Source organism: Homo sapiens, chromosome 7 (genome assembly GCF_000001405.40).
Source record: "Homo sapiens chromosome 7, GRCh38.p14 Primary Assembly".
NCBI classification, from domain to species: Eukaryota; Metazoa; Chordata; class Mammalia; order Primates; family Hominidae; genus Homo; species Homo sapiens.
In genome coordinates, this window is record NC_000007.14 from 105,038,257 (window position 1) to 105,052,673 (window position 14,417).

Consider the following 14,417-nt stretch of genomic DNA (forward strand, 5'->3'; position numbering starts at 1 on the left):
ACATATTTTACTTGTCAGCTGGATGACCAGTTTTTTGATTCACACATAAGATGTGAAACATTGTGTTAATTGTTAAGGTTGTGTTAAAAACCTTTTCCCTTTATTTATAACTTTTTTTTTTTTTTGAGACGGAGTCTCGCTCTGTCACCAGGCTGGAGTGCAGTGGCGCGATCGCAGCTCACTGCAGCCTCTGACTCCCTAGTTCAAGCGATTCTCCTGCCTCAGCGTCCTGAGTAGCTGGGATTACAGGCACATGCCACCAAGCCCAGGTAATTTTTGTATTTTTAATAGAGACAGAGTTTCACCATGTTGGCCAGGATGGTCTCAATCTCCTAACCTCATGATCCACCCGCCTCGGCCTCCCAAAGTGCTGGGATTACAGGCTTGAGCCACCATGCCCGGCCAGTTTTTGACTGTTTTTTAAACTCACTGTGTTAAAGGTCACATCTTTTCTGCTTGCTACATTGGCTTTCCCTTTTTAAAAAAACTATGATTTGACCCTAACGAATTCATCATTTTATTAAATATCAACAACATTTTTAAGCGATGCGAATTTTCTCATTATAAGATTTTTTATATTAATGCAAATAGTGAAATACTTGCCTTAATGTCTTAATACATATGACCTCTTGTCTTCTGACCTCTTGTGAGTAAATTACTGAGATCTGCTTTTCCTGTTGAATCAAATTCAGAGTCTGCAGTTCTGTTTCAGATGTGATGATGTATCTTTGTCCTGAGGATAAGCTTCTGTGTTTTTAGGGAAAGGCAGTTATGGGGATGTCATGTAGTCGTTTTTAATGACACTTGATTATACAGGGTGATAGTTCATTTAGTTAATTAAGCCAGAGCTGCAGTTTCATCTCAAGTTCTCTAATGCATTCACCAATTCTTTGTAGAATGCTGTTATGTCCCAGGCACTGTGCAGTTTGGAAGACAAGCAGCAATAGCACAAATAGAAGTCATTGTCTGAAGGAAGTTTGTGGCAAGCTCTTTACTGAAACATCTCAAGTGTGGTGTGTACTGAGGATGGCATATTTATATAAAAAGGGACATACTAGTAAATAAATACCTAAGTAGATTATTTTAGATTGGAAATATCACTCAGTACTTAAAAGACTTTAATAATGACTTGATTTCCTTTCAATGTTTGCCTCTGGTAAATAAGTATACCACTAAATATAGTATATACCTAAAATACAAGACTTTTGTGAGTCTAACATAAAAAACAGTGTTTCTTCAAGTAGCAATTCTTATATCTGCCTGTAATATTTAGTTACATTTGAAAATATCTATTTAGGTTAATTCCTGTTTCACAGATTATACAGATTGTGAGTTCATACATTATGGGGGAAGATTACCAAAGCGGGTTAATAACATGTTAATAGTGGTTTGAATTCTCCAAGAAAACTAGCCTTGAACTTTTAAACTATGTGTAACTGGGAGAGAGCTACCAGATTACTAATTATTATAAGATAAAAATATACAGTAATAGACAATTGCACACTGCTTTTCAATATTTCAGGTATTACATTACAGAGACAAGGATAATGACTGTTGCTGTTTTCTAATTTATAGGATTATCTATATTGGTTTTGTTCCTGAGTTGCACCTGTATAATTTTTGAAAAGACTTTGAGTAGATATTTTATAAACATACCTGTAGCCACTGTTATGTAGTGAATTTAAATTAGAAAAATTGATGTTGAAGCTAAGTATCTTTTAGTTGCTATTGTAAATTTGTTTAAAAAAAAACTTCATTAGTTTTTTCTACTAATTGAGTTAGGGAATATTAACTCTTTAATAACTGAACAATATTAATGGAAGAAAAAGAGAACTCCTTCAACAGTATACCTAGATTTACCTGTTATAGAAAATGACAACTACTGTACAGTAATCAAATTTTTACAAATAACATAGTTTCCCTTACATACAGATGCAAACAGTAGAGTAGAATTGGTTCAGATCCTGGTTTCATCTCTTAAGTGGAGTAGCCTTGATTAAGTTATTTTTAAACCATGTGTTGCTGGAGGAGAGCTACCAGATTACTAATTATTATAATATGAAAATATACAATAATAGACAATTACACAGTGCTTTTCGGTATTAGCCTGTTTTGGTTTTCTTTTCCTCAGTGGTAAAATGGAGATACCTACCTTAGAATTAGGAGGATTAAATAGACCATCCATGTAAAAAGCTGATTATGGTGCTTAGTCCATAGTAAGTACTCAGTATTTGGTAGTATATTGTTAGATCACTCACTGAACAAAGAAGACTTATTTTTGCATACTGGCACTTTAAGAAATTACATTTTATCTTTTAAAATGAATAATTTTTGGTTCTTCACTAAATATGCCGTAGTAATCTTCTTGTGGCATTCTAAATTCATTCCCTCAGAAAGATTGTGATTTAGAAACTTTTCTTTTGATCATGATCACATAACTCAATTCCAGAAAAATTAATGAGAGAGACTCTAAGCAAATTTCAATTTATATTGAGATTTTAATAAAGAATGTTTTCTTCATGTTATTTTACTTACTGTTATAGTGTGACTGTTGCTTTTTTGTCTCCTTTTCTTTTAAACAGGGTTTGTGGATGCACTTAGATGTTTGCAATGAGCACTGTGGCTGGCATGCCCCAGTGTTTTGGATACCAATGCATAGGACTCCATAGTAATCGAATTTACCAGAGGCGAACGTCATGAGCATAGTGATCCCATTGGGGGTTGATACAGCAGAGACGTCATACTTGGAAATGGCTGCAGGTTCAGAGTAAGTATTTAAATTGGTTACATAAGCAAAAAAAAAAAAAAAACCCTTCTGGAGCTAGAAAGTAGGAAGAAGTATAAGTGGAAAATATTAAATTTCTTCTTTCCTAGCCATTTTTTAAAGTAAAAAAAAAAAAAGCGAAGTTACCTTTCTTTCTCAAACACTGAGAACGTGATTGCTATCTTTGTTTTCCTTTTAAATAGCATTACCACTAATATTCATTATTGGATTGAGGTATTGACATGACTTATTTTGACTCCAAATTTCTGAGAAGCGATACATTTTTTACCAACTGTATTTTCCTATAGTATTTGATATTGTTATTCCAGTGTCACTAGAGCCACCTGCTGACAGGAGTCATTAATTTGTTGGTGCTTGGGTTCCCCCCACCCCCAGCAACAGATGGAGTTTTGCTGTGTCTCCCAGGCTGGAATGCAGTGGCTCTATCTCAGCTCATTGCAACCTCTGCCTCCCGGGTTCAAGCAATTCTCCTGCCTCAGCCTCCCGAGTAGCTGTATTACAGGCGTGTGTCACCACGCCCAGCTAATTTTTGTGTTTTTAGTAGAGATGGGGTTTCATCATTTTGGCTAGGCTGGTCTCGAACTCCTGACCTCGTGATCCACTCTCCTCGGACTCCCAAAGTGTTGGGATTACAGGCATGAACCACTGCGCTCAGCCGGTGCTCGGGTATTTTTAGTTTGAATTTGTATAATTGAAGATTCTAAAATATTTTGTATATAATGAAACATTTTCAGAAACTTTTTACTTGTTCTTTTTTCATCCAGTGCTTAACATTTTTGCTTGTGATTTCTTGACACTTAATCGACTATGAAGAAACTATTTTTTTTTCTGCTGCTTTTAAAGTGAGTGTTGATTTGTTTGTACTAATTGGAGGTGCTTTCATTTAAGCGTGGCTTTGTTTTTGTATTCAAAAGCCTGCTTTAAAGTACTGTCCTTGCATTGTTTACAACTGTTCTTTTTTTGTTGTTTGTTTTGTGACAGAGTCTCACTCTGTCATCCAGGCTGGAGTGCAGTAGGGCAGTCTCAGCTCACTGCAACCTCCAGGCTCAAGGGATTCTCATGTCTTAGCCTCCTGAGTAGCTGGGATTACAGGTGCATGCCACCACACCCAGCTAATTTTTGTATTTTTAGTAGAGACAGGGTTTCACCACATTGACCAGGCTGGCCTCGAACTCCTGGGCTCAAGCGATCTGCCCACCTTGGCCCCCCAAAGTGCTGGGATTACAGGCATGAACCACCATGCCCAGCCATGTTTACAGCTGTTCTTAGGGTAATGCTGAATTTTTCATTTGTTTCGTACTTAATCATAAACAATTTTTTCTTATAATTTTTTTCACTTGTAATACATACAGAGCTCATTGTATTCATATAATGTTCTGTAAGTGTTAAGCAGCTCCCCTACTTTGAGCAATGTGTTTTATATAAAATATCTTAATCATCCCAGCAAAAAGGCAGGTATTATTTTCATTTTATAAGAAATGCAGCTCAAGGAGATTAACACATTTGCCTATGGCCACATAATTAATAAAAGGTAGAGTTAGGTTTGAACCCAGAGTTGCTTGGCTCCAGATTCATGCTGCCACATAGGTCAGAAGAGTCACATTTAGTTAATAGAGGAGTAAAATGAAGTGAAATGCCACATGTGATGAACTGAGGACAATTGTCATACCAAACTTCATTTGCTCTTTATTTTTAAATTTCTTACGTATTTTCATACAAATATTTAAAAATAATAGATTGTAAGAGAGAGAAAAGAAATGGACAGATTTTGATCGCAAATCTGAAGGAGTATATTGAGAAGTCATGGAGATTTTTTACACCTATTAATATAACAATTAGTATAACCTATTCATGTTATGCCTTCAATAACATACACTGGCTATGGTTATATTATTGAAATGTATGTTATTGGAGGTCTTAACACTCAAAGGGAAAATTAGAGGTTTTACCTAAGATCTAAGATGCTGGTATGAGCTTCTCATCAAAACCCACTTGCAGTTTGAGAGTTTATACAGAGAAGAAATTAAATTTTTAATTGGGAAGAAGAACATCCTTTAAGTCCAGTTTCTGAGGAATTAGAGCTTATTTATTCCATCATTCTAAACTGTTCTTTTTCTCTAAATGCCTCCTCAATTTAATGATTGGCATTTTTCCCTTTTTAGATTTTCAGTTCTAACTTACTTAAATTTCTTTTTTTCTTTTTTTTTTTTTTTGAGACGGAGTCTTGCTCTGTCGCCCAGGCTGGAGTGCAGTGGCGGGATCTCGGCTCACTGCAAGCTCCGCCTCCCGGGTTCATGCCATTCTCCTGCCTCAGCCTCCCAAGTAGCTGGGACTACAGGCGCCCGCCACTACGCCCGGCTAATTTTTTGTATTTTTAGTAGAGACGGGGTTTCACCGTTTTAGCCGGGATGGTCTCGATCTCCTGACCTCGTGATCCACCCGCCTCGGCCTCCCAAAGTGCTGGGATTACAGGCGTGAGCCACCGCGCCCGGCCACTTACTTAAATTTCTGCATTAATAATATATGATGTGGCTTAGGTGATAATTTGTGATGGTTTTTTAATGAATAAGGACATTTTGGTATAAAACAAATAAGATTTTAAATTTGTAAAGTGGTTCCAGAAAAATGTGGCAATATCAAATAGATTATTGCAAACAGAGTAGTGGTTGTTCTTCCTTTAAAGTTTTTGATGTTAATTTAGAATTACAACACATTTGGAAATAGCGTTTTTTCATTTTTAAGAATAGAAATATTACGTAAATAATTCAGCTCAGTGTGGTGGCTTATACCTGTAATTCCAGTGCTTTGGGAGGCTGAGGCAGGCAGATCGCTTGAGCCCAGCAGTTTGAAACCAGCCTGGGTAATACAATGAGACCCTGTCTCTACAAAATAAAAATTTTTTAAAAATTAGCTGGGCATGGCAGCGCATGCCTGTAGTCCCAGCTACTTGGGAGGCTGAGGTGGGAGGATCACTTGAGCCCAGGAGTTCCAGGCTGCAGTGAGCCATGATCGCACCACTGCGTTCCAGCCTGGGTGACAGAGCAAGACCCTGTCTCAAAAAAGTAAAACAAAATAATTCTACTTCTGATGACCAAAAATGTTCTCTATATTTGTAAAGTTAGTGAAGCAATGAAAATTAAAGTGGTATAAATTTAGGACTACCAGAATTTAGGCTTTGGGTAACTCTAGTCTAAAATAATATCTAGTACCATTTTGTAACATAGGCTGTTTGCTTCATTAAGTAAATAATCAACAGTCATAAATAGTACTCTGGTAAATTTCACAGGGATAGTAGGGACAATGCAGTTTGATGGGAAAAATGCTAAACCAATTTAAGGACTTTAAGGTATTTTTTTCTTTGCTATTATAATACCATGTTGACTTAGAATTAAGAGTTAGTTTATTTTACAGATATGGGCACTGAGACCCCAGAGTAGTTATGTGGCATGTCCCAAGGATATATAGTGACTTTAGTGGTAGAGGTAGGACTTGGAGGTAGGGTTTGTGACACTTAGATCAGTCATCTCCTGGTCTGTAAAACTGGAGATTGGATTATCTGCTCTATAAAATACCTCCTAGGATAGTGCCTGATTATCAGTTTGGAGCAGCAGTGACCCTATTTCCAAGAATAATTCCAGTCCCACTGCACTCAATCCCATACCAGGCAGGACACAGTAGCTGATCTACCAGTAGTTTTGTGACAGTGTTGTTGGGGGAGTCAATAAATTGCCCTCTGAAGATCCACTATCACCGATTCTAGGCCAGGAGAATGCTACTTTCAGTCTTTGATATCTCTGAGGGAAAGGAAACCACACCCTGATACTCCTTGGAGCCAGATGCAAACCAGCCTTACCACACTATTTGTTCTACCTGCTTTACTTACCAAGGCTTAGGAGCAGCATTTCACCTTCTCCAGGCTCCCAGTATCACCTGAAGGGGTCAAAGGTAGGGCCTGGGTGACTCATTTGGATTAAGTCTTGACCCTTTGTCAATTTTATCTGTTCCTCTAATTCCTGTAATTGGGCACGGTCTAAAATGTAGGTCCATTCAGATGTCCAAATCCTTATGGTGTTCTTCCTTTTATTAATTCTTCCACCTGCTATGTATAATTTAGTTATTACAGTGACCATGCTACCATCACATTAAGGCCCATGCCTAGTTCTCAGATCTTCTTACATTGCCCGATCTTGCAGCAGAATTTGATACTATTGACTCTCTTTACCTTTGGCTTTAGTGAAAATATATATTTTTAAGTTGTGGTAAAATAGATACAACATTTATCGTGTTAACCATTTTTAAGTGAACAATTCGGTGGCAGTAAGTACATTCACAGTGTTGTGCAGCCATCACTACTGTTTTCAAACTTTATCATCCCAAATAGAAACTCCGCATTCACTAAATAACTCCTTCTTTCCCCTTCTCCTAGTACCTCATAACCTCTATTGTAGTTTCTATCTTTATTTGCCTATTCTAGATACCTCATATAAGTGGAATTATAAAATACTTATTCTCTTATGTCTGGCTTATTTTACTTAGCATAATGTTTTCAGGATTCAACCATGTTATAGCATATACCAGAATTCCATTCCTTTTTATGGCTGAATAATAGTCCATTGTATAGATGTACTATATTTTGCTTATCCATTCATCTCTTGACGTACACTTGGGTTGTTCCTACCTTTTGGCTATTGGAAATAGTACTGCTATGAACATTGGTATACAGGTATCTGTTTGACTCCCTGTTTTAAATTCTTTTGGTTTTATAGCTAGGAGTGGAATTGCTAGGTCATAACATAATTCCACATTTAACATTTTGAGGAATCGTCGATCTCTTTTTTCCATCTGGTTTTCTTTTTATGGCATGATCTCCTTTTTAAATGTTTCTTCTTTTTCTTAAATATTTGTGTTTTCTAGGGATCTGTACTTCCTTACTTTTTAAACTGTCCTGGAGATGTCATCTACTTCTATAGCTTTCACTGTTTTTGCATGCTCATGACTTCCAAATCATCCTTACCTAATTCTCTCGTGGGCTCTACTCACATAGCCCTCTGCATTACTAGACCACTTAGATGTTCTGTGAGTAGTTCAAACTTAATAAAATTAGTACTATACTAATTCTCTCTTCTTTCCCTCGTCCTCTCTAATAAATTCACACCAAAAAAGCCGTCTTATTCATATATTCTATTTTTCACTCAAAGACAGCAATACACATAAGCCATAATTTTTCTAAAAACACATAAGTCATTTAATTTTCCCAGGTTTTTACATCACTGCTTCTTTGTTGCCTTTAAGTCTAAATTCAGACTCCTTTTAATAGTATGCAAAGGCTTTCTTTTTTTCTTCCTTTCTTTCTTCAAACTCCTGTTTGAATGGTTTCATGGTATTCCAGTCTAGAGGTATACCAAAATTAAGTTTTAATCAGTCTCATTGAATATGTACGTTGTTTGAGCCAAATATTGCATTGAAATTAGCATTTTGGCATAATTTTTGTACATGTCTTTAATGATTTACTTAGAATAAATGTGATCTAGAATTACTAGGTCAAATGGAATGCAAGATCTTTTTAAAGGCTACTGATATATGTTGCCAGATTGCATTCCTGAAAGTTTGTGTCTACTCAGAAGAAGTCAGTGCCCTGGCAATTTGGGACATTTAGTATAGGAGAAAGTAGGTTTATAGAATTTAACCCTTGAGAGTATCACATTATGATAGCATGTAAATACATCAAAATTTACCTTGCCATCTAATTTTAAATGTAATATATTCTGAGAAGTTAGGACTATGTACAATACAGTTTAACAAAATTGCCATTAAAATAGTTGTATTTTAAAAGTTGATGTGTCAAATGTGATCCCAAGACCGTCCACAGGCTCAAAGATTTGCTGGAAGGACTCACAGGATCCAGAATGTAGTTGTACTTATGGCTAAGATTTATTACAGCAAAAGAATCCAAAGCGAAATCAGCAAAGGGAAAAGGTACATGGGGTGAAACCTGGAGGAAAGCAGGTGCAAAATTCTATGAGGCTTCTCCCCATTGAGGCACATAGGATGCACTTAATTTCTTCAGCAATGAATTGTGACAACACATGTGAAATGTTGTCTACCAAGGAAGCTCATTAGAGACTGAGTGCCCAAAGTTTTTCTTGAGGGATGGCACGTAGGCATCTGCCTAGAATGTACCAAAATTCCAGACTCCCAGAAAGAAAATAAGTATACAACATAAACCATATTGTTTGTATAAACAGTGTAGGCAGAGTAAGCTGCCCTTATCATTTGAGGAAAGTTTCTTATCAATGTAGGGAACTGTTTACCAGCTAAATTCCCAAATGCCAGCCAAGGGCCACCCTTGTAAGGCGGCCTTTCTACCCTCTGGTAACTCTTGTCTGCACAGCTGATTTTTGCAGGATTAAGTTGAACTATATGAATGCCATTTTTATAGGTCAGAATTGGTCTGGTATCAGTAATTCTGTATTGTTAAACTTAATAGTAAGAGAAGAAGGAGTGAATTACAATTTGTTGAGCGCTGCTGTGCCAGGTAAATGTTTTACATGTGTTACTGCATTATTTTTATACTGTGAGTCCAATGTTAACTTCTTCTCAAAGATGTGAAAACAAAGTTTCAGAAGGGTTAACTAACTTCCCTGAAGTCACGGATTGTAAGTTATCAGAACTAGGGTGATATTCCTGGTCTATTTTAGATCCATGTCTTGCTTTTTCTCACTAAACCAGTGCTGTTAGCTATTGGCTGAATTTATGACTACCTGTGCTTTTCAAATACTTCTGCAAAAACAAAATATATAAAACAGATAAAAGGAAAACAACTCTGGTTGAAATGGAAGTGAAGGGCTTAGAACACTTTTAACCCTTCTCCTACCATAAACATTCCCAAGGATTCTAAGAGCTAGCACAAGACAATAACTGCTCTTAGGAAAAAGAAATGGAAATACCGTTTGTTTCAGCAGCTATGGTAGACAATTGTGTGAAATCCTTTTTTTTGGGGGGTGGATAGGGACTCAAAAAAGGACCTCAAGGTCGCACAGACTGGAGTACAGTAGTGTGATCATGGGTCACTGAAGCCTCCACCTCCCAGGCCCAAGCAGTCGTCCTATCACAGCACCCCAAGTAGCTGGAACTACAGGTACACACCACCACACTTGGCTAATTTTGTATTTTTTTGTACAGATAGGGTTTCATCATGTTGTCCAGGCTAGTCTTGAACTCTTGGGCTCAAGTGATCTGTCTGCCTTGGCCTCCCAACGTGCTGAGATTATAGGCATGAGCCCCTGTGCCTGGCCAAAATCCTCATTTTTTAACACCAGGAAATCTCATGATAATTTTATTCAGCCAAATGAAGGATTAAATACTGAGTTTTAAAAAAAACCCTATTGTGACTTTAAAATTTGATTATTTAAGGGGATAGAGTTTTAAAAACCTGGGTCAACATGTGACATTTAATACTAGATTTTATAGCTAGCTCAGTTTCTCCATACATTTTCTCATTTTTAAATTTAATTTGGTTCCTGATTGTTAAAAAAATACGTGTGTGTTATTGAAAATCCTCTTTTACTTGCCTAATTATTTTGGAATTTAGAATTAAATTTAGAGCAAGGATCAGCAGAACTTTCCTGTAAAGGGCTAAAGAATAAATATTTAAGACTTGCAATGATATGGTTTCTGTTGTAACTACTCAGCTCTGGTCTTGCAGCTGTAAAGCAGACTGTGTGTGTAAATGAATGGACATGACAGTGTTCCGATAACACTTTGTCTACAGAATCAGGAAGCAGGCTGGATTTGACCCAGGGTTCTAGTTTGCCTACCACTTATTTAGAGCAAAGGAATCTTGATAATATACTGTTTCCAACGAAGAGTACTATTTTTTCTCTGATTTTATTGGCTTAAGCAAGTACTATTTCAATGGTATGACTTTCTTTAAATATAATTAGGTAGAGGGAACAGCAAGTACACAAGCTCCAAGGCAGGAACAAATTTAGATTGTCCTAAAGAACAGGGAAAAAATATCAAACATGGGAGTAATAGACCAAGGGAAGAATATTAAGAAGAGATGAGAGGAGTAGGGCCTAGGGGCCATAAGAAGTTAAGATTTTAAGTGAAATAAGTGCTGGCCAGGCGTGGTGGCTCACACCTGTATTCCTAGCACTTTGGGAGGCTGAGGCTGGCCAGTTGCTTGAGCCCAAGAATTCAAGACTGGCCTTGGCAACATGATGAAACCCCATCTGTACAAAAAAAATACCATAGTTAGCCAAGTGTGGTTGCTTGTGCCCGTAGTCCCAGCTACTTGAGCTGAGGCGGGATGATCGCTTGAGCCTGGGAGGTCTAGGCTGCAGTGAGCTGAGATCACACCACTACATTCTAGCCTGGGTGACAAAGTGAGACCTTGTCTCAAAAAAAAAAAAATAAAGTTCTAATTCAGTGCTCTAAATTAGTAAATATTTATTGAGGGCTTGTTATATGCCAGCTACTGTTTTGGGTCCTGGGGACACAACTTCAAATCTAAAATTTTGTATTTATATTCAAATTCTGTTTTTTCTCTTACAAAACAGAAAAATGGCCAGGCGCGGTGGCTCACGCCTGTAATCCCAGCACTTTGGGAGGCTGAGGTGGGCAGATCACCTGAGATCAGGAATTCGAGACCAGCCTGCCGAACTTGGCAAAACCCCATGTCTACTAAAAATACAAAAAATTAGCTGGCTGTAGTGGCGGGCGCCTGTAATCCCAGCTACTCGGAGGCACACGCAGGAGAATTGCTTGAACTCGGGAGGCAGAGGTTGCAGTGAGCTGAGATCATGCCACTGCACTCCAGCCTGGGCGACAAGAGCAAAACTCCGTCTCAAAAAAGATAAAGAAAAAAGAAAAATGTCACTTTTAAAAAAATTGGAGTCCTGTTCCTCCACTTGCCCTCTGGATCTTACCCCTTCTCACCTTTTCAGAATCTTCATTCTTCCCTCTTGCCTGCAGTCATCCCATGTCTCTTGCATCTTCAGTTTCTCTATTAGATCATTCCTATCACATGTAAATATAACAGAATTATTTCCCTTTTTTATTATTTCATTTCTCTAATCCTCTTAAGAGCAAAACTCCTTGAGAAAGCTGTTTGTATTCATTATCAGGTTGCACAACACTACTATAACCTCCTGTGTTGTCAAACTAATTGGTAGTCTTCTATAATTTATATACATTTTTTCAGATTTGATGTAAATAATCATCCCTTCTCTTTCTTCCTACTAGGAAGGTTCAACTTTGGATTTCTAGGTACCACACTTAACTAACCACTATTGGTCATTTTTTCCTGGCTTATTCTGTTATGCCCAGGTGCTTTAAATGTCTAAGACTCAACTGCAGTCCCCTCTCCTTTTAAAAAACTTGGTTTTTAGGTTATTACCTGACTTTAAATATAATCTCTGTGTGTGGTTACCCTCAATTTTTTATGTCCAGTCATAATCTTCCTAAGCTCCAGACTTGTATACCCAAGTTGACAGCTTCACTTGGAATTCTTGATGTTCTTCTGCCCCCAACTATCTACTTTTGGTTATTGTTTTTTAGGCTCATCTATTTTTTTTCCTTTTCTTTTCTTTTCTCTTTTCTTTTTTCTTTCTTTCTTTCTTTTTTCTTTCTTTCTTTCTTTCTTTCTCTTTCTCTCTTTCTCTCTCTTTCTGTCTGTCTGTCTGTCTTTCTGTCTTTCTTTCTTTCGACAGACTCTTGCTCTGTCACCCAGGCTGGAGTGCAATGGCATGATCTCAGCTCACTGCAATCTCCACCTTCAGGATTCAAGTGAGCCTTGTGCCTCAGCCTCCTGAGTAGCTGAGATTACAGGTGGCCACCAAGCCTGGCTAATTTTTTTATTTTTATTCGAGATGGGATTTCACCATGTTGGCCAGGCTGGTCTCAAACTCCTGGCCTCAAGTGGTCCACCTGCCTCGGCCTCCCAAAGTGCTGGATTTACAGGCATGAGTCACAGCACCAGGCCTCATCTATTTCTTTCTTTCCTTCTTTCTTTCCTTTTCTTTCTTTCTTTCTTCTTCTTTCTTTCTTTTTTCTCTCTCTCTCTCTTTCTTCCTTTCCTCCTTTCCTCTCTTCCTCCCTCCCTTCCTTCCTCCCTTTCTTCCTTCCTTCCTTCCTTTTTTCCTTCCTTCCTTCCTTTTTTAGATGGAGTTTCGCTCTTGTTGCCCAGGCTGGAGTGCAATGGCACGATCTTGGCTCACTGCAACCTCCGCTTTCGAGGTTCAAGCGATTCTCCTGCCTCAGCTTCCCAAGTAGCTGGGATTACAGGCATGCGCCATCATGCCCAGCTAATTTTGTATGTTTACTAGAGGCGGGGTTTCTCCATGTTGGTCAGGCTGGTCTCAAACTCCCGACCTCAGGTGATACGCCCGCCTCGGCCTACCAAAGTACTGGGATTACAGGTGTGAGCCACTGCCCCTGCATCATCTATTTCTTTAAATGGCTACATCTCTATCCAGTTGCTTAAAACTCTAAGCTGTCAGTCTTGATTGGTCCTTTCCCCTTAACCCCTATGTCTAATTTATTGGTCTGTACTGGGTCCTCCTTCAAAGTATATTTTTGTTTTGTTTTGTTTTGAAATGGAGTCTTGCTCTGTCACCCAGGCTGGAGTGCAGTGGCACAATATTGGTTCACTGCAACCTCTGCCTCCTGGGTTCAAGCAGTTCTCCTGCCTCAGCCTCCAGAGTAGATGGGACTACAGGTGCGCGCCACCACGCCCAGCTAATTTTTATATTTTTAACAGGATTTCATCGTGTTGGCCAGGCTGGTCTCGAACTCCTGACTTCACAAAGTGCTGGGATTATAGGCATGAACCGCCGCGCCTGGCCAAAAGTATATTTTGAATCAGTACACTTTTATCCATTTCTACTGTTGTCCTCATCCAGGCCCTTGTAATCTCTTGACTAGACACTGGAGTGGAATACTCTCCATGTTTCTCTTTTGCCTTCTATCATTTATTTTCTGTAGAAGCTACTATGCTTCTTCTGAAGCATAAACCAGATCATACAATTCTCCCACTTAAAAAGCTTCCAGTGACTTTCTGTTTTACTTAAAATATTAACTTTTTATGACCATAAGGCCCTCCTTCCCTAATCTCGTCTCACTATTCTCTTATCTCACTATTACTTCCATATTGATTTTTTGTTGTTGTTCTTTTGAATATTTTACATTTGTTTCTGCCTTAGGGACTTTGTACTCGTGATTTCCTCTGCCTGGATCATTCTTATGTTCTTGGCATAATCTTAGCTAAACTCAAATATCACATACTAGTGAGGCCTCCCCTCTTCCATTATCTAAAATAGTATCTGAAATACTTGTTTTATTTCATTGCTGCCGTGCTTTATATTTTTACTAAAACATAAGCTTTATGACTATAAACATCTTGTCTGTTTTATCACTAATATCATTGTATCTACAATGGCTAGCACAGGGTTTGGCATATAGTAAGCATTGAGTCATGAATCATATTGCTTGAAGGTCATTTTTTATTTTTATTTATTTTTTATTTTTATTTCTGAGAAGGAGTCTCACTCTGTCGCCCAGGCTAGAGTGCAGTGGCGCAGTTTTGGCTCACTGCAACTTCTGCATCCTGGGTTCAAGCGATTCTCCTGCC

General features: G+C 38.1%; 1 protein-coding gene across 6 annotated transcripts in view; it reads left to right on the top strand.

The window, feature by feature from the left end:
• The window catches only part of KMT2E (lysine methyltransferase 2E (inactive)), a 100,815-nt gene that overhangs the window by 24,052 nt on the left and 62,346 nt on the right, over positions 1-14,417 (top strand). For 4 of the 6 annotated variants that reach the window (NM_182931.3, XM_005250493.2, NM_001410908.1 and 1 more), the window contains one exon: positions 2,583-2,767. In NM_182931.3, coding sequence (NP_891847.1) covers positions 2,697-2,767 — 71 coding nt within the window. In that variant the 5' untranslated portion in view covers positions 2,583-2,696. Of the gene's footprint in view, positions 1-128; positions 270-2,582; positions 2,768-14,417 lie in introns of all 6 variants that reach the window. The other 2 variants (XM_011516400.3, NM_018682.4) reach the window with 2 other exon arrangements.